General features: G+C 36.8%; 1 protein-coding gene, 4 gene segments (V, D, J or C) and 1 further gene; all 6 read right to left on the reverse strand.

The window, feature by feature from the left end:
- The window catches only part of TRG (T cell receptor gamma locus), a 128,032-nt gene that overhangs the window by 15,554 nt on the left and 92,613 nt on the right, over positions 1-19,865 (reverse strand).
- TRGJP2 (T cell receptor gamma joining P2) lies at positions 760-819 on the reverse strand. The segment is given in 1 exon segment: positions 760-819. A coding segment is annotated over 1 exon segment (60 nt), but the record flags the coding sequence as incomplete, so codon positions are not given.
- On the reverse strand, positions 4,066-18,059 carry TARP (TCR gamma alternate reading frame protein). 2 transcript variants are annotated; one of them, NM_001003806.2, is made up of 4 exons: positions 18,010-18,059; positions 9,772-10,101; positions 6,594-6,641; positions 4,066-4,653 (listed from the first exon to the last, which is right to left on the reverse strand). In NM_001003806.2, the coding sequence occupies exons 2-4, from the start codon at positions 9,914-9,916 to the stop codon at positions 4,511-4,513; spliced, it is 336 nt and encodes a 111-aa protein (NP_001003806.1). In that variant the 5' UTR covers positions 9,917-10,101; positions 18,010-18,059; the 3' UTR covers positions 4,066-4,510. Both variants share the same exon structure in this region, with proteins under 2 accessions (NP_001003806.1, NP_001003799.1).
- On the reverse strand, positions 4,511-10,101 carry TRGC1 (T cell receptor gamma constant 1). The segment is given in 3 exon segments: positions 4,511-4,653; positions 6,594-6,641; positions 9,772-10,101. Coding segments are annotated over 3 exon segments (521 nt in total), but the record flags the coding sequence as incomplete, so codon positions are not given.
- On the reverse strand, positions 13,914-13,963 carry TRGJ1 (T cell receptor gamma joining 1). The segment is given in 1 exon segment: positions 13,914-13,963. A coding segment is annotated over 1 exon segment (50 nt), but the record flags the coding sequence as incomplete, so codon positions are not given.
- TRGJP (T cell receptor gamma joining P) lies at positions 18,010-18,071 on the reverse strand. The segment is given in 1 exon segment: positions 18,010-18,071. A coding segment is annotated over 1 exon segment (62 nt), but the record flags the coding sequence as incomplete, so codon positions are not given.

Raw genomic sequence — 19,865 nt, forward strand, 5'->3', positions numbered from 1 at the left:
TTGTGAGTGGATCATTGTTTCTTAGAGTAAAATATTCAGGGACATCATCATTTGAGGAATCCAAAATGGACACTGAGACCTGAGATGCCTTAGAAAGTTGCTCTGAGATAGATGCTTTACATGCATGTGAAGCATAAAACAAAAATTTTAATGAAATATAAGGGCAAAAAAGGCAATATTTCTCAACTGATATTGGTATTGATATAATCTTTAACTTTGAGGTATGATCCAGTTAAGAAATTGAATGTTATAATTAGACATTTCACTTTTTTACTTGTATCCCTATAAATTTACATATTCAAGTTGGGGGAGGGGAAAATACATATTTTCTTAAACTTGTATAAATTTTCTCTGGAAAATGAAAAATCACCTTGTATTCAGGCAGATCATATTTGAGATAATACGTAAAACATTCTAATTGCTTTTAGAAGCAGGTACAATTAGGCTTTTAGAAATAAAAAGCATTTTATGAATAGTGACATTTCTTCTGAAGTGAGCTGTTGAATAGATGGGGATTGATACATTTATCTGTATTCCTGAGTGTATAAAGACCTCTCTTGGGTAGTAACTTGAATTCTGGAAGAGGAAATAATATTTCTATCACCTACCAAGTGCCAGGCATTCAGCTACCCTGAAAAATTGCTGTTCGTATACTGAGGCCAGGAATGTGACATATTCAGGTAAGGTTGATCATTTTTTTCTAAAAAACATCTATCAGTTTTTCATTACTGGAATAAAAACAGAAAAAAAATTACTTACCAGGCGAAGTTACTATGAGCCTAGTCCCTTTTGCAAACGTCTTGATCCAATCACTACTATCACACTGGTCTAAGCTTCTACAAAAATCTCAACCTTCTGATCCTCATGACATGACTAGCAATCCAACAACTTTGAACTAGCAATTTCATCTTCTGGCTTTTTTGGAAGTCCTTGAATATAGGTTTTGTGACATGTGATAGTTTGTAATTTTTCCTCATAAATTGCCTGCTTTCTTCTAAGGCAGTAATTCTTGAAAAGCATCAACAGAAAAAAGAAATGTTAAGATAAAAAACCAACAACAACAAAAAAAGAAAGGCCGGGCGCAGTGGGTCACGCCTGTAATCCTAGCACTTTCAGAGGCTGAGTCAGGTGGATTGCCTGAACTCAGGAGTTCAAGACCAGCTTTGGCAACACAGTGAAACCCCGTCTCTACTAACATACAAAAAAATATTATCCGGGCGTGGTGGCGTGTGCCTGTAGTCACAGCTACTCGGGAGGCTGAGGCAGGAGAATTGCTTGAACCAGGGAGGCAGAGGTTGCAGTGAGCCGAGATCGTGCCATTGCACTCCAGCCTGGGCGATAGAGAGAAAAAAGAGCAGGCTCAGTGGGTCAATGCACTACTTTTCTAAATTACCAGGAAAAGTATTCAGAGAATTGTCGTTTTTTTTCTTTTTTAATTTCCAGGGGTTCAATTGTGTTGAAACTGCTTTGAGATTACATCAAAGGAAAAGCCCTTCTGTTCCCACAAACACCAGGGCCTGTTAGTAATTTGGGAAGATACTTCTGAAAGGAGGAAGCTCTTTAGTAACTGAAAATGCAAATGTGTCAACACAGATATACTTGAGAAATTTGAACAAAGGTCTCCACTTTCAAAAAGCCACTTGTATCATTTGGCAACACGATGCTTTACCAAGGCAATGCCAAATGAGGAAATGTTTTCCACAATGACTTATCATTTTTCCTGGAATAGCAGAAGAAATTTGTAGAATTCTATGTCCCATGAAGTAATACATTCTTTATTTAAACTATGGCATAACCAAAAAAAAAAATTTAGTTATCTGATATGTTGAAAAATCTGCCATCTTAAGCTGGTGTCGGCTGTGTGATCTCCTGTGTACAGATGAGGTGTTCAGTTGCAAGGACTGAGGAGGACAAGCCTTGACAACCTCCATGTCCACTCCAGATCCACCCTGCTCCAGCCTAAGTCTCCTGAGTCTTCATTCAGGAAGGTATGAGTGAGGTCACAGAGGGCACCTATCCATACACGGCAGGCCACAGCCCCCACAACAATGGAGAAGACAATGGGGCTGGGTGAAAATTATGTTTGGAAAGGGTTTCTTCTTAATAGAAAATTCAAAATTATTATGTGGCGCTGTCAATGACCCTTTACACCTGTGATAGATGGAATGACGCCCACTCAATCTCTTTTTGTCCTCTGGCCTTCCTTATTTCAGGACCATGAGGGGAAGCATCAGAAGTCTTAGCAGCTGTCAATATTTCAAGAGCCATGAAGGATTTAACTAATAAAATGTGAAGAAGTAATGAATTATAAAATCTTTTATTAAATTTACCAAAAAAATACAAGAATGATATGAAGAACACAGTATTTAGTTTTCCTAAGGGCATAAAATAAAACCTAAATAAATGGAGAAACATACATTGATGAATAAAAAGCTTCTATCATAAAGAGGCCAATACACCCTAAATTCATCTATAAATTTCCAGCAATTTTAGTCAGAATTACTACGACATGTTGTTGTTCTAGGGTGTGAGGTTTAATGTTAGGCTAGATAAGTTGATTTTAAATTCTACAGGAGTGAATAAATATGAGATGATTGAAAAAGAATTTTCTGAAAAATGGTACAGTGAATAGACATTTGGCATAGTAGATCTTAATACTTGCCACAAAGCTACTGAGATAATATGATAATGATACAAGAATAATGAAATAGACAAATAAAACAGAAATTCTCCAGAAAATGTGTCAAATATGTGTAGCTATTAAAAACATGCTGGAGCATTTTTAAATTGTAAGGAAATGGTGGATTATTTGGAAACAGGCATTAGGCAAATAATTACCTGAGAAAATAAAAATATCACTCTACCTCATCCCAGATAACACAGGGTCCAAATAGATTAAAATTAAAATGACAAAGCTACACATGGCCAGAAGGAACATGTAGAAGAATAATTGCATCCATTGAGTAAAGAGGCATGGGATGGAAATGGAGTAGGAGAAACTTAAAACACATTAATTTTTAAGAAGTAAGAATGTGGAAAATTTTCTATTTTAATAGTATTTTCAAATAAATGTTTTTGAAAGAAGAATAGACAATGAGGACTTGCTAAAAGATTTAGGGAGGAAAGTCACATGATCACATTTGCACTTGAGGAAGATAAATGTGCAAGCAGAAAGGAAGGGGCACTCCCCAGGACAGCAATTTGGGTGAAGCAGATGGTTTTATAGGTGGTCACCATAAGCCAATAAGAGGCAACAAGGACCTGCGTTGTTGCAGTGATGGTGGAGATGGACAGAGTGGCTGCAGCAATAAACATTAACAAGTTTACTCGAGTTTTTAAAATATTCTTATGAAATAAATTATTATCTCAGGAAGTTGGGCATGCCCTTAACATAGGCAAAATAAACTTCTAAGTTGATTGAGGCCTGTGTCAGATACTTTTTGGTTTATTACTGTCTCTAGAGTAGAGCTACCAACAGTGCGTGCCGACACTGTGGAGGACTTGCATGTGCCAGGTGTCATTAACTCATCTAATCCACATAACTCCAGGAAACGGGGCATTATAACTTCATTTTACATGAGGAGATTATGGCACATAGAGTTCCTGGAACTCACCTGAGGTCACACAGATACGAAACACCATACCCAGGATTCCTGGGATCAGAGAGCATGTGCTGAACCTCTCCATCACGCTGCCTCTCTGCTTTTAGGGCAGCTCTCATGGGGGTATCGTGAGGATCAGGAAACACAGTGTCTGTGAAACACTCTAGAGCTGAGCTCACACGGTACGCGTCACAGTAGATAGTGTCCTATAGCCACTGGAATGTCCTAAACCGAATGAATCTGACTCTGGTGACCTTTCAAACAGAAGTCACATGAGCTCCTTCATTTGGTTGTAGTTCTTCTTAGAAGGTGTGATAACCACGATCTCAGGGAAAGAATTAGAAATGGGGTGTTGGACCATTCTTACAACCAATACAGAATTCCACAGCCCAATTGCCATGCTGTTTCTTACCTTGGATGTTCAATTTGATGTCATCCAATTAAAATACCATGGACAAAAGTCAACTTTTCATTTTTTTAAATTTATTTTGCTTATTACGGAAAAACACACCACATAATTCAACTAGCAAAGAAGACTGCTTCAGGGCGTGTAAAATGAAAGGCTTCCAGGCAGTTATCTGATTAAAGAACACTAAGAGAGGGACAAGGCTAGAAGCCGCAGGATGTCTACACTATAGCAGGCGCTATTTGGGTTGGCTGGAGGAGCTGTGGAAAACATGGAGAGATTGGTGCTGGAGATCGCCGTGGCTATTCCTCATTGTTATTACAGAGTGAGGTTCTCTGTGTGCCCACTGGTTTGAAAACCGTTATACAATAATGATAGAATAGTACACACATGAGAACTGAAATGGCCCAAACCCAGAAAGAAAGCCCAACTAGATCCTCAGAAGACGCTTCTAGGGACAATAACCGATGAGGAAAAGATGGCCTCCTTGTGCCACCGTCTGTTATGATTTCTCTCCATTGCAGCAGAAAGCCGTTCTTCTAAGCAGACAGCAGGTGATGATGGCAAAATAGACCACACTCTTGAGGAGCAGGAGGAGGTACATGTAATATGCAGAGGTGTTTGTGAGCTGCAGCAGTAGTGTATCTAAGAGAAATTGCACATGTTCTTTTTACAGAATAAGATACATTAATGCGAGAGGGGTTCACAAATACTTATTTCTGATGATTTACGTTGAAGTGATATTCCACCACCACCAAAACCTAAAAGTAAACATCTACTGCTACCAGCACCACCAAGAGTCAGACAAGTCAGAATTCAGCTTTCAAGTTGATTAACAACCTCTGCTAAATTCACTTAGAACATTCCCAACTATTAAAAAGTAAGGTTGCATTGTGGAAAATCAAAGAAAGTGGTTAATCCAGATTTGCTGATGTGTTAGGTAGTTGTGGCACACTCACCTGTCTTTCCTAAATGCCTCTAATTATGGCTATGCTATTATTGGGTGATTGCATTTAATATTATTTGAGGTTTTGCAAGAGATATGTGATGTCAAGGAATAAGTAAAGACAGTGGGGGTGGACCACTAGTGCCTACTCAATGAGCTACAAGAGTGAGTCTCTACCTGAGAAAATTTCCATTTATATGTTTTGTCTTCATAAAGTGAGAATTCCAGAAACATCAGTCCTTGGTGTGGAAAAGGATCTCAAGAAGTGATGTGTCCGTGACTCCCTGCCCTTGGTCAAGTGAGGTGGTACTGCCCTCCTTGCCTGGTGTGGCAGCCTAAGTCAGAGCCCCTTGGTATTGGAAATAGAGGAAAGTTGAGCAGGGCTAGAGCCCATGCTTCTAGTCGCATTCTTTGTGCATATGTAGAGAGAAAAAGCCAGAAACAAGTACTCATTCTGTGTCTGCTAAATGAGATGCCCTATGCCAGACATCTCACATTCATGCCTTTATCTCTTCAATAACTGTGAATCTGGTGTAATTATTCTTTGTTGGCTGATGAGAAAACTGTTGCTCACAAAATGTAGGTCACTTACACCTAATCATTAAAAGAGCTGGAGTGAAAGTCCAGTCTGCAAAGCCCATGCACCCACCCAGCCCCACATGATGTCCGTTTTGTTTCAGGTTCCTGGCTTGGTAATTTCTTGCTATCTGACTCTATTGTAGAAAAAGAACAGAAAACTTACTAAGTACATAAACTCTTTGTTTGATGGCCTGATTTGAAATCCCAGATCTAGCTGTGTGACATGTATAGGGATTTTTATAATTATTTGCTTTAAAGGGACTGTAAATTGGGAGAAAAATATGTACCATTTTATAGGAGTTTTAAGAGGGTTAAACAAGAAAATGCAGAACACAGCCCAAGCCCTTCTGTGTAAAAAGCACTTGATAAACACTAGTTCGTGTTATTAGCTACTAGCAAAGACCAAAGACTAAAACAAAACAACTCGAGAAGCAACATGGTATCATGTTTTTCCCAGTCATTAAACAAAAGACAGGACAGGAGGCCGGGCACAGTGACTCACGCCTGTAATCCCAACAGTTCGGGAGGGCGAGGGGGCAGATCACGAGGTCACAAATTCGAGGCCATCCTGGCCAACATGGTGAAACCCCAACTCTACTAAAAATACAAAAATTAGCCGGGCATGGTGGCACGCGCCTGTAGTCCCAGCTACTCGAGAAGCTGAGGCAGGAGAATCACTTGAAGCCGGGAGGCGGAGGTTGTGGTGAGCTGAGATACTGCCACCGCACTCCAGCCTGGGTGACAGAGCAAGACTCTGTCCAAAAAAAAAAAAAAAAGAAAAGAAAAAGAAAAAAGACACATGAATGAATAAAATCTTTTTTTTGAAATAATTAAAAGCATATCACTATACCACTGTACCCTCTCTAATTTACAGTCATCTCATACCCCAAAGCAGTAGTTAGGTTTGTTAATACAACTCCTAGAAAATGAGGGACTAATTTAAAATATCACTAGGTCCATTCTGCAGCATCCAACCTAGCAAAATCCATTCCCTGATTTTTCAAGCCAGAGAAGTTCAAAACAAAATGATCAGGAGGAAGGGAAAAACACAAAAGCTTACCATTTGCATCTTTTGAACAATTGTCTTTGGGATCCATTGTGATGACATCTAGAAGAATGAGAGCAAGTACTAGTCAATTGTTCGTGTGTGTGTGTGTAATTAAATGAATATTTATAAAACCTGTCGACAGAGAGGCAGGAGGACAGTTATTAAAAATATGAGCCCACAATTCCAGAAACAATTGGTCTAATTCTGTGTAATTAGGTAGATCTAATTCATGTATTATGTTTTTGCACATCAAGATGTTGAAGTTGGTGAAGAATACATTTTTTCTTTTTTATCACAACTGGAGTGTAGTATCCAAGAGCATTTACTTTTCCTTCTGTATTCATAGCTCCTAGCATAGTGACTGCCACAAAGTATGTTTTTGATAAATACTTGTTCAATGGAAAAATAAACTGAACAAATGGCTGCTTTACAGCCTTCAACACACACTGCTGACATGACATCAGCAAAAAGATTAATTTTGTTTTGTTTGTTTGTTTGTTTGTTTTTTGAGGCAGGGTCTCACTGTCACCCAGGCTGGAGTGGAGTATAGTACGGTGTCATCACGGCTCACTGAAGCCTCAAACTCCCCAGGCTCATGAGATCCTCCCATCTCAGCCTTCTGAGTAGCTGGGAGTACAGGCACATGTCAGCACTCACTCCGAGCTAATGTTTGTATTTTTTGTAGAGACAGGGTTTCGCCATGTTGCGCAGGCTGGTTTCAAACTCCTGGACTCAAGCAATCTTCCTGCCTTGTCCTCACAAAATGCTGGGATTACAGGGATAAGCCACCACACTCGGCCAAGAATTCTTTCAGTCCTTGAATCCACAACAGAATCTTACATATTTGAAGGAGTCTGGCTTAGAAAAATTTCTCATCTAAGCAAAAAAAGCAGTCATTCTTTTCCAAATCATGCATATCCCCAATGTCCCCAGCAAGTACCCATGATTTTCTGGAGGTATAGTGTTTCTGGACATAACAACAACAATATTAATAAAAGCTAACATCTACTGAGTACTCATTATTGTGTCAGGCACTATGTTAAATGCTTCCCATGCATTTTTTGTTTAATTCCCCAATAACACTGAAGTGAGTTGTATTATGTATGGCCCCATGTTCTGAATGAGGAAATAAAGTTTAAAAAGTGCAGGCAACTTGCCGAGAATCATATCAGCAAATAGCAGAGCCAGTATTCAGACAGTAGTTGTAGGGGAAGAAAAGAAATTGGACATATGAAAAGTACTTTGTAGGAATAATCCACAGAAATAGATAGAAAGTTATTTATAAAGAGGCAATATAATGTCACCATTGTGTACTCTAAGAAAATCTCTTTCAGTATGTTAATTACTCTCAGCAAATGGTTGTTTTTATTACAGGAGCTCAGATTTCAGTGCAATTCTTTCTGGGACTAGAAAGACAGAGGCCAAGTCACATTGACAGTTCTCTCAATAAAACCTGAGGTGAGAGTTGAATTTATCTGTGATGTTAAAAAAAAAAAGGAAGAAGCAAACATGCATACAAAGACAACATACTTTAAAACAGAAGAAAACACAGTTGCATTGGTGTGTTGGTTTATTATTTTTCTAGTAGATGTGTTCTTGTCTATACGGATATGATTCTGGTGCGCAATTTTATGCACTCACTGAGATCTTTATTTCATGAATTCTAAAAACTTGGACTTGAGGTATGGGTTTTGGGTAAGTCTCAAGAATGCAAACGTTAGTTATCAAGTCTGCATGTCCAAATATCTTTAAGGGCTGACTTTAATGGGTTTTCAATGTCTTTTTATTTTCCTCATGGTGACTTCATTTATTAAAAGATAAATGAAAATGACTATCACTTATTTCCATGCATTGATTGAGGTAAAAAGAATAAAGTAACTGTTCCCCATAATAAAATCTTCAAGTGTATCCTGAGTTCTCTCTCTCTCTCAATCAAGGTTGGTTGCAAGTGTGGACCAGATTAGTTTTATCTCCTTGAAAAGCACTTCATTGATTATATAATATGATCACTTCCATGTTATATTTTTAGCTTTTCTCAGAAAAACAAACTTCCAAGAAAGAGCATTAGAAATCTACTGTAGAATGACATTAAGAGAAGTGTCCTCCTTAACGTAGCTGCCTTGGGAAGCTCATGAAAGACATTTTACTTTTAGGCTGGGCACAGTGGCTGACGCCCATAATCCCAGCACTTGGAGGCCGAGGTGGATGGATCACTTGAGGTCAGGAATTTGAGACCAGCCTGGCCAACATGGTGAAACCCCATCTCTACTAAAAACACAAAAATTAGCCAGGTGTGGTGGCAGGCGCCTGCAATCCCAGCCTGTCGGGAGGCTGAAGTAAGAGAATCACTTGAACCCGGGAGGTGGAGGTTGCAGTGAGCTGAGATCATACCATAGCACACCTGCTTGGGCAACAAGAGTGAAACTCTGTCAAAAAAAAAAAAAGACTTTTTACTTTTAGAATTTAGTGTAAAGGAAAACACATTATAAAACTGTAACTTCTCTCCTGTATAATATTCACTGCCTTGGAACTTACTATACTTTTTATTTTGCCCTGATCACTAGAAAAATCAGAACACTTAAGCACAGTGGTAAGACTACCCTCAAGCTTTGCACATTTGCCTCCCCTTTGTGTCTCAGCAAAGGAAATAGAAAATTGGAACTGTTTTTAGATAAACATCATTCTGTCAACAACAGATAAACATCATTTTGTCAACAATGAACCCGTTGTTTTTAGGTTAAACTTTGTGGGTAGCAAGATTGAGGTGAGTGACTCTCCTGCTTGGGCAGAACATTCCTGAAAGACATATATATGTTATTTCCTGATCAAGTAAAGTCATCAAAAGAAGGGAGAACACTTTTTGAGCGTTTACCACGTGTCACGTTGCTAGATGCTTCTGTGTATGTTGTTTCTTTAATCCATCTAACAACCCTAAAAACCAGCACGTGACTTTCTTATTTTGGATAATGGAGCTGAGGCTGACAAACCTTCAGTAACTTTTTCAATTTTGTTTTCTCCAAAACCTATACCATTTTAATTCTATAGAAAAGTAGCAGGGCATTTATGCTACCATTAAATGTAACAATATTTAAGAAAGATTTATGTTTGTTTTTCATTAATACTGAAAGGAAAAAATGCAGCATTCACTTTCAAAGAAGTGTTCTGACAGATGATATGCGTAAACACATACCTGTCTTTATTGGAGGAAAGATAATTTCTTGATCAACTCCGTTTTTATTATTCTCATGTCTGACGATACATCTGTGTTCTTTGTCCAGTGACTTTTCTGGCACCGTTAACCAGCTAAATTTCATGTATGTGTCGTTAGTCTTCATGGTGTTCCCCTCCTGGGATCCCAGAATCGTGTTGCTCTTCTTTTCTTGCCAATGTATCTTAATAACATCAGGGAAAAATTTCTCAAGAAGACAAAGGTATGTTCCAGCCTTCTGGAGCTTTGTTTCAGCAATTGAAGGAAGAAAAATAGTGGGCTTGGGGGAAACATCTGCATCAAGTTGTTTATCTATGGGGAGAAATGAAATATGAGTTTAAAAGAATCATTAGAGAAACACACACATTGCACAGTTTGGAGTGGCCTAGTACATAACCATAAAAAGAGAAGATGCCATTGAGCTGGTGTCCACTGCGGCCTTTCATCCAGGATAGGCTGCACAGTACTTATTATTGTGCTTATTTTACAGATGTTGAAAAGAGAATCAAGACATTAAATAACTTGCCAAAAGTCACAGCTCTCAAATGTCAGATGCTGGACGAAAACCTGGCCTTTGTTTATTCTGCACATGCTGTGATGAGTGTGATTTTTAACTGCCTCCTACCAGGGCTTCCAAAGTTCATGAGCATATTTATTTTATTTTTTAATCTCTTTTGTTTCATCATAGTGAAGCAGGTTTTCAAGGTGGATGGCAGGGGAAAGTGGAAGGTCAGAAAACCTTAATGATCTCTCTACAGATGAGACTCTTTGGTCCTTTTCCCACTTCCCTTTTCCATCCTTTGTAACTTATGTTCTTTGGCCAAATATGACACATTCTCATGTTCTGCAATTTCGTGTACTCCCACTCTTCATTTAACTGATTCTGCGATGCACCATATTTATCTTATTATTTATCTTATTTCCCATATGAATCAATGTCAAAATTTTTGTTGTTGTTGAGACTGGGGCTTGCTCTGTCGTCCAGGTTGGAATGCAGCGGCAAGATCATAGCTCACTGCAGTCTCGACTTCCCAGGCTCAAGTGATCCTCCCACCTCAGCCTCCCAAGTAGCTGGGACTACAGGTATGCATCACCATGCCTGGCTAATATTTTTTTTCTAGGAACATGTTTCACCATATTGACCAGGCTGGTTTAAAACTCCTGCGCTCAAGTGATCTGCCTGCCTCAGCCTCCCAAATCCTGGGATTATAGGTGTGAGCCACCATGCCTAGCCATTTTGTTCACTTTTATTTTTAACATACACAGTCACTTGTTTTAAAGAGAATCTACTTCCGCATGTACATACTGTCTATCAAGTTGACCATGTAGCTTCAATGTGTATACCATGAGCAGTCCCCCTAGTTAATATCTAACTTTATATAACATCTCAATTTCACATCTGCACCCTCCAAGTTTTGGGATGCAGCAGTATTTACAGCTGTACCTCCAGATTATTCACCATCTCCTGAATTTAGAAACAAAATGGCAACTTTCCAAAACTCTTATTTAAATTTTTTCTTGATTATTTTCAGAAATACTCTTGTGTTAATCTTCTGCAGTAACGCACTTATCAAAATTTCATTTTGCTTCAGAAAATATTCACCAAAAGCACATTTTATTTTGGAATTTCATTTGAAGTTTAAGAATGACTAAGAATGCACCAGGGGTGTATTTTTTATACTGGGTTTTATATAAATTTACCCCATTAATGAGAAGGTCTGTGTAAATCAGTGTATCTATATTTTGACTCTTTATGTCTCTCCCAGAATTTGTATCTGTCCTATATGCTGCTTAACTGTTTTAAAGCTCCATTATTCTCTTCATCTTAGCCTGCTGAATAAAATGTACATATAATTGCTCTATTAAAAGTCATGATTTCAGAGCTTCTTATAGGGATAGGGTCAAGATACATAACAAAGCATCATATGTTTACAAAGGCATATCACTTGAATCTGGAATGTTAATGGGTTATACACGTATTTTTAATCTAATAACTGAAATTATAAATGTTACAATTCTTTCTATTTTGATTTCCAATTGAAACTCCAATGCTTTGGCTGGTTTGAAGTGAATTTAATAATTGAACAATTTCTAAGAAAATAAGAATTAAATTTCTCATTTCAGAAGAAAAGAAAACAGTCTTGATAATTTCTGTCTGTGTAGCAAAGCTTCTGATTTTCATACAAAATTAGTAAACATATACAGAAATATTAATTTGTGAGCATGCTATAAATTTAATTAGGCATAATGTGCTCATCTTAATTTCATACTCTTTGCTTTTAGTGCAAATAGTATTTTACTTGTTATACTTGTGAGACAGTGTATATTTCTCCACCATATAGTTTGCTTCTAATTTTAAAAGCATGTTATAAAATATGAGTAATTTTTCAATTGTACATTATATTTATATAATTGTAGTCTCTAGTCAATATATTTTCCAATCTAATTTTCATCCTAAGAACTAGTGTCTCTTCATTGAAATACTTCTAATTCATTGTACTAAAGAAATTAAAAATCAAATGATAAACTTGGACATTTTCTGTACGGTACCACAGCATTCATTGCCTCTTGTCCCCTTTCTTTAGCTAGATTCTTTAAGTTTCATTCTTTTCAGGACAAAATGAATCTGGAACTTCCAAAACTTTCTCAACGTAGTAGTTAACGAATCATTAAATAGCATACTTGATTACACATGGTAAGGGCCGATATTGTGGATCATCCTCTCACATGATTTTTAAAATACTACTTTTAAAATGTACATATTAAGAGTTTTTTATGGCCAAGTATGGTACATTTTTACTTACTTCAATAACAAATAGAATTTACATATTTTATTTAAAATAATAAATAAAATTTATTTTATTGTTGGATTCATTTATGTACATTTATTTGCAAAATCAAATAGTATATTTGAGTTAAATTGCCTAAGTTGTTTGTAGTTTATTAAAATGCAGCATTGTAAATTTACCAAATATCAACTACAGTTTTTAGAGACGGTATGATATATTAAATCTACATATGGATATTTATTTAAGTGTTCTCTATTTCTTATTTTTTCATTAGCTAAATAGTTATAGCCATTTTATGTTTAAATATGTATTTCAGATTTATGATGTTTCCAACTGGATTTAATTGATTTGATATCTTGACCATTTTTGGTAAGATTTTAACCTTTTTTTCCTGAGACATATGAACAGAACCCTAAACTAATTGGCTATAAATCTTAGGACCAATATGTTGGTGTTAGAAATGATATCAATTAAGATAAAGGATTAAGTAAAGCACATAGAACAACAAAAATAAAAAACAGACATCTTAATACAATGTTTTTGCCACGTGATTAAAAAGCCTGCTAACAAGAAACGAATCCATAAGTTCAATTTTTGCGTGTGTGAGCTGATGTTGATAACCTTCCATTTGAGCAGTTAGAAGTACAGCTGAATCCTCTGGAGAATTGCTGCTCTGTAAATTAGATGGACTGAGAGCAACTCTCCATAGTAGATCCCATTGTCTCTTTACATGTGAATCCAGAAAACATTTGTTGGGCACCTATTTTGGGTTGGACAATGTGCCAAGTACTTAATTCACACTATGTTGTGCAATTCTTATACAACCCTGCTGAATTCATACTGTTATCCCATTTTATGGATTAGAAAACTGAGGCCAGAGAATAATCACTCAATTTCACTAAGCAGTGAGTGGTGGAGCCAGAGTTCCAGGTGGACCTGACTCCAACACCCGGGCTCCTTCACAACAAGAGTAAACATGTCTTTGACCATCAGAGATGAATATGTGTCCACTCTGTAGAGTCTATCACAAACTTACCTGTCATAATACATTTGGTCTCAGGGCCAGACATTTTAATGAGATCATTTCATACATTACATATGAGCCCTTTATGGAAGTCCGTATATGCACAAAGCCAAATCTTATTATGATATCTGTGCAATGTTATCTATGTTCTCTTTTAGTATGAGCGTTTGTTTTAAAGTCTCTCCTAAGTTTTCTACATCAAATCCCCATCCAATTCCTCTTTTTTCTAAACATTATTACATTATTCCAGTTTAATAATTTCCTGCTTTCCCTCTATTACCTTGGAAATGTTGTATTCTTCCGATACTTACCTGTGACAACAAGTGTTGTTCCACTGCCAAAGAGTTTCTTATAATAATTCCACAGTGATTCAGTCCATATCAAAAACTCTAATTCAGTTTCCCTGAGTTCTTCAAATTCTGGTGGTCTGGGATTCTCAAAAGACCAGGGTTCCAGTCCTGGTTCATTTTGCTCATAACAAGTTCTGTTGCTCCACAAATCAAATAACTTAAAGCTTTTGGTGTTTTATTTGTCTAAAAACAGTGATGTTTCAAAATCAGTTCAACATCGCTACCAGCACTGAAGTGAGACCAAAATGAAACAAGATATAAAAAAGCAATTTGATTAAAATGTTATAGGTCCCAGTGCAGTGGTTTGTGCCTATAATTCCAGCACTTTGGGAGGCTGAGGTGGGAGGATTGCTTGAGCTCAGAATTTTGAGGCCAGCCTGGGCAACACAGTGAGACCCCATATTCACTAAAAATACAAAAAGCATTAGCTGAGCATGATGTGCACGACTGTAGGCCCAGCTACTCGAGAAGCTGAGGCAGGAGGGTCACTTGAGCCTAGGAGTTCGAGGCTGCAGTGAGAATTGATCACACCACTGCACTCCTGCCTGGGCAACAGGGGAAGACCCTGCCTCAAAAATAAATGCTATGGAAATATAAGAGATTATGATGATGATGATGTCATTGTTATGATTAGCAATCTGTTTGCTATGATTGTGTGCCTTGACATGACATTTTAACCCTATAGGACCAAGCATTGCCCTTACTAAAAAAAATTCAGCATTTTGGAGTGGCAGTTAAATCCATAGCAATTAAGCAGGAGGAATAATTTCTCAGTTCCTCTGTTTGCATTCCACTTTGCTCTGGGATTCTCAAAGCCATCGTCCCCATCATCACAAGAAACATGGCTTTCACACGCCCAATCTTTAATAGGTTATCCTTTGCCTTACCTACCGTGTTAAGAAAGTCAAAGGGAACATTGGCTAAAGTCTAATATATGCAGTCAGTGTATGGGAATTCTTCACTTGTGTTTTTCAAAACAAGTGAGCCTTTTTCTAATCAGCAGCACAACTTATTTGCCTTCCAAGTTTCACCAGAAACTTCAGCCTGAAACTGACTTCTGTCTAGTTCATGCCAAAGTCCAGCTTGAAACACCTGGCTTTACCCTTCAAGGCAGAATGGGTAGAGAAAAGGCAAGAGGCCTGGTCCTCAAATCCATCTCTCTGTTGTCACTTTAGATCACTACATGTTATCTGCCTGACCATGTCTGCTGAGCATCACCATCTGCGCATTTCATTAAATGTCAGGATGCCCATAGCACTGATGCAGTGGTAATATGCAGTGGGTTTTTCATGACCATTCCTTTCATTTTCCAAAATGGAAGTTGAAGGCACTGCCCACTCTTCCATTTCCTTCTAAAGGACTCATGCATTGAAGTCTTTTTCCAATCTAGTAATAGAAAAAAATATGATATTTGAAAATTTGGTGTGCTTCTTTTTATCAATTAGTAAGATGTATGTATTCCCCTACCTTTTTCTCCTTCTTTTGAGCATAAAATTTTAAACTGTGCTCCTCACTAGGTAATCACAGGCCTTTTTCCTTCTCCTTTCCTTAGGGCTTTAGATCATCTGTATATATTTAATGGTCTGACTGTGCTTGTATATTTTAATTTAGGTCTTCTCAAATAGATTTTGGAAAGAGATAGCTTAAATAAATAACAAAGAGTTTGTGCATTTAGCATGTTTCTCCTTTGCCCCCAGGAGTTGATGGTTTTGTAAGGTCAAGCTCAAATAAGACACAAGGAATGGAGACTATGTTTGCAAATCCTAGCTCTGTGATAGGGACACCTACATACTAAATTTAGATAGAAAGTGCCAGAACTTAAAATGAAGCTTTTTTTCCCCAAAATTTTCTCTCACAACATGGGGAGGTGCCTTATGTATGGTACAGTCTTTGTGTAACTTCTCATATTAAAAAATGTTCTTCTAATACTCTGCTTTGATCCAGAAGGACTAACTGGAGGAGATATCGACATGAAATGAACTCAATGATGCTAGTTTGGGGAATAGCACTGGTAAAAGGAAAAAAAAAGGCAAAGAAATTTATCACGGATTTGGTCATTATTACTTGGGGTAATGTCTCTGTAGTTTTTACTTCATACAACTGTAGAATAACAGAATAAATTGGAAAAAAATATATCCTTTTATTTTGTGAGTGAATAATTGTGTCTTAGAATAAAATATTCAGAGACACCATCATAAGAGGATTCCAAAGTGGACGCTTTGACCTGAGATGCCTTAGAAAGCTGTTCTGAGATAGATGCTTTACATGCATGTGAAGCATCAAAACAAAAGTTTTAATGAAATATAAGGGCAAAAAAGGCAATATTTCTCAACTGATATTGATATTGATATAATTTTTAACTTTGAAAGTATGAACCAGGTAAGAAATTAAATGTTATAGGTAGACATTTGACTGTTTTACCTGTAGCCCTATAAATTTACATATTCGAGTTGGGGGAGGGGAAAATACATATTTTCTTAAACATAAATTTTCTCTTGAAAATGAAAAATCACCTTGTATTCAGGTAGATCATATTTGAGATAATACGTAAAACATTCTAATTACTTTTAGAAGCAGGTACAATTAGTCTTTTAGACATAGAAAGCATTTTACAAATAGTGATATTTGTTCTGAAGTGAGCTGCTGAATAGATGGGAGTCGATACATTTATCTGTATTCCTGAGTGTATAAAGACCTTTCGTGGGTAGTAACTTGAATTCTAGAAGAGGAAATAATATTTCTATCACCTACCAAGTGCCAGGCATTCTGGTAGGTAATTTCCATATTTAATTTCATTTAATCTTTATAACATCCACTTTAGATAAATAATCTCCATTATCTTCTTTGTACAGATCAACGTGAAAACAGAAGTTTCAACTTTGTTCTGGTATTGAAAAATATTAAGGACATTTGAAAAGAATGTTTATGAAGCAGTGTGAAGTGAAAAAGCCAGATCTATTATTGTGTATCTAGTATGATTCCAACTTTGTAAAACAAACAAACAAAAAGCAGAGAAAAATGTTTAAATAAAAATATAACAAAATGATAATGTGATGAGGGTCAATATCAAATTATAATTTTTTGTTTATTTTTGTGTTTTCCAATTTTTCTATAATGAACCAGCATTTTTATAATTTGAACAACTGGTAAATCAAAATACACTTCCTAAAAGGGAGTTACATAGAAAGTGCTAGCTCCAGGAGTCGAGAAACAAAGTCCATACCTTTTCTTGCACCGCACTTTCCTGAAAAATCACTTCTCAGAAAATTACAAATTATGAATTTGATTGCTACAATTCTCATTAAGTCAATTGGATAAAAGAGAATCGGAAGGTCACTTTTTAACTTATAAGTTCATTTTATCATAAGATCTCAACCACTAAGGAATTAAAAATGTAAAACTGCTTTCATTTTTTCCGATGCTTTATCAACTTTGTGAAAATTCTCTGAAAACTTTCATTTCAGTGGATCTAACAGACTAAGAGTATCTTTATGAGATGTTTTCTCTCATCCAGGCAAAATTACATCTTTAAACTTAAGCTAACAAATAATAAACAAACTCATTGGACCAATTTAAATAACAATAAATGCAGCTTATGTTACTTCTAAATATGGTCACACCGAGAAATATTTTAACATTTGATATTAACCATTCTTTGGTCAAATTATCAAATATTTCATCTTTTGGTGACCAAATAAGGAGGGTAGCTGATTTTACTTTTTTTTTTTTTAATTTTTTCCATTGGTTATTTTTAGAACTGAAGAAATAAAATCTCAAAACTAAACTTGTTCACAAAACTTTCAACAGAGAGATACCAATGGAACAACATAAGGCCTCCATCCTTTAGAGATTTGCAGTTGGTCTAAGCTCCTTAGTAATGTCTCCCATGCTAGGGCAGGAAAAGTTCTGACTCCTAAGGCATGAACCAAGTCACCTGACCTCTCTGGAGATTTCACCATGATTAGTGACCAAGGAGGGAATCCTAGAATTCTGAGCCAGCTCCTGCCTGCCAGCCTCCCATCCCTTCTTTACATTGCAAAATTTAAAGAAAACTTACCTGTAATGATAAGCTTTGTTCCGGGACCAAATACCTTGATTTTTTTGCCCAACTCTTGCCCACCACCTGAGAAGCCTTTATAAGAATCTCCCTTTGTGTTTGTCTTAAAATTGTGCCAACATTTTTTTCAATATTTACATAAATACATAAAAATTGGCCCTGCTGACGTTAAGTCAAGACAAAGGTCAAACAAAATCACACTGGATCTGAATGTAATCAGGAATTTAAGAACTGACCTCACCTTGCCCTGGGCACTTTGGGCTATGTACATTCTCTCCTTGTATCCCATACATTAGAGAGTCTGATTTTACCTTTTCTCATGATTTTGCCTGAATCTTCTAAATCTTCCCTAAAAAGTTTTCTTGTATACACTTTGTCTTAAGTGTAATTTAGAGTTAATATTTCCTTAATTTTCAAAGAGAGACAATAATAGGATTCCTATGTTTGACATTTAATAAATAGATATTCAATATGATTTATAGGTATTTTGGGATTCATATGTATGGAGGGATGGGTATCTAGATTGATTCTAAAATAACTTCTTTTTGGCCAGGCACAGTGGCTCATCCCTGTAATCCTAGCACTTTGGGAGGCTGAGGCAAGCGGATCACTTGAGCTCAGGAGTTGAAAACCAGCCTGGTCAACATGGTGAAACCCCATCTCTACTAAAAATACAAAAAAAACCCAAAACATTAGTTGGGCGTAGTGGCAGGAGCCTGTAATCCTAGCTACTCAGGAGGCCGAAGCAGAAGAATCTCTTGAAACTGGGAAGCGGAGGTTGCAGTGAGCAGAGATGATGCCACTGCATTCCAGCTGGGCGACAGAGTGAGACTCCATCTCAAAAAATAAAAAATAAAAATAAAGTAAGTTCTTTTTAGAATCCAGTTCTCACTGATAGAATACTGATGAGTTGTTAGAAAATATGAATTCTTAATGATGATTCATTGCTGAAAGACTGCTACTTTTGACTTGAAAATATCTATACAGTTTCATCAAATTAAATCGTGTGCTACTCAACAGAGAATCTGAGGCAGCTCTGAGTTATGCGACTTAGCACTGCAATATAGCATAGCTGCGATAGCTCCTACATCAGTTTCAACATATCTAGCAAATTTGATGCCAATACAGAAAGACAGCTGAGTGGAATGACGTCAAAATGACTCATTCTACAGAAATACCCTAAAAATTATATTTTGAGTATTTAATAAATGTATATCCCATATGACTTTTTGGAGGAGAGAGGTCATTTCAGTGCCATAATTAGAAGTAGAAGAATTGTATTAATACACAAATAGTAATACAAATTGGGAGTTGTTACTAGAAAAATAGTCAACTAAAGAGTCCATTCATAGGGTCAAGCTACAGAAGAAGAAATATTCAAAGTATAAAAATATGACTTAATATTTCTAAATATCACATAAGGGTCCAGACCAGGCACTTTGGAGTAGACAAGCTTAGATAGATCCCAGACTTTTCCACAGTGACTAGTCATGTGACTTTAAGAAAGTAACTGAGCTTCTCTAGGCCTCAGTTTCCTCATCTGTGAAATGGGACTAAGAGGATCTCCTGCATAGGTCTGATGAGGAAGGAGATAAAGCATTGAAACTATTTAGCATGGTGTCTGGCTCTCAATAAACTTTGCTAATATTAATTTTCTCCTTAAAAGGACAATATTGGGTCATTTTATCAAATCCTCCCACCAAACGCAATACATAGATCTTATAAGCAATAACTGCTACACAAATTAAGAAAGAAAATGAGCTCATGAACCCAAGACCTTCTGCTTCTCCGGCAGCCACAGGCCAAAGAACGTGGACAGGGCCCAACCAAGCCAGAATCTAGAATACTTATCTGCC

Source organism: Homo sapiens, chromosome 7 (assembly GCF_000001405.40).
Source record: "Homo sapiens chromosome 7, GRCh38.p14 Primary Assembly".
NCBI lineage: Eukaryota > Metazoa > Chordata > Mammalia > Primates > Hominidae > Homo > Homo sapiens.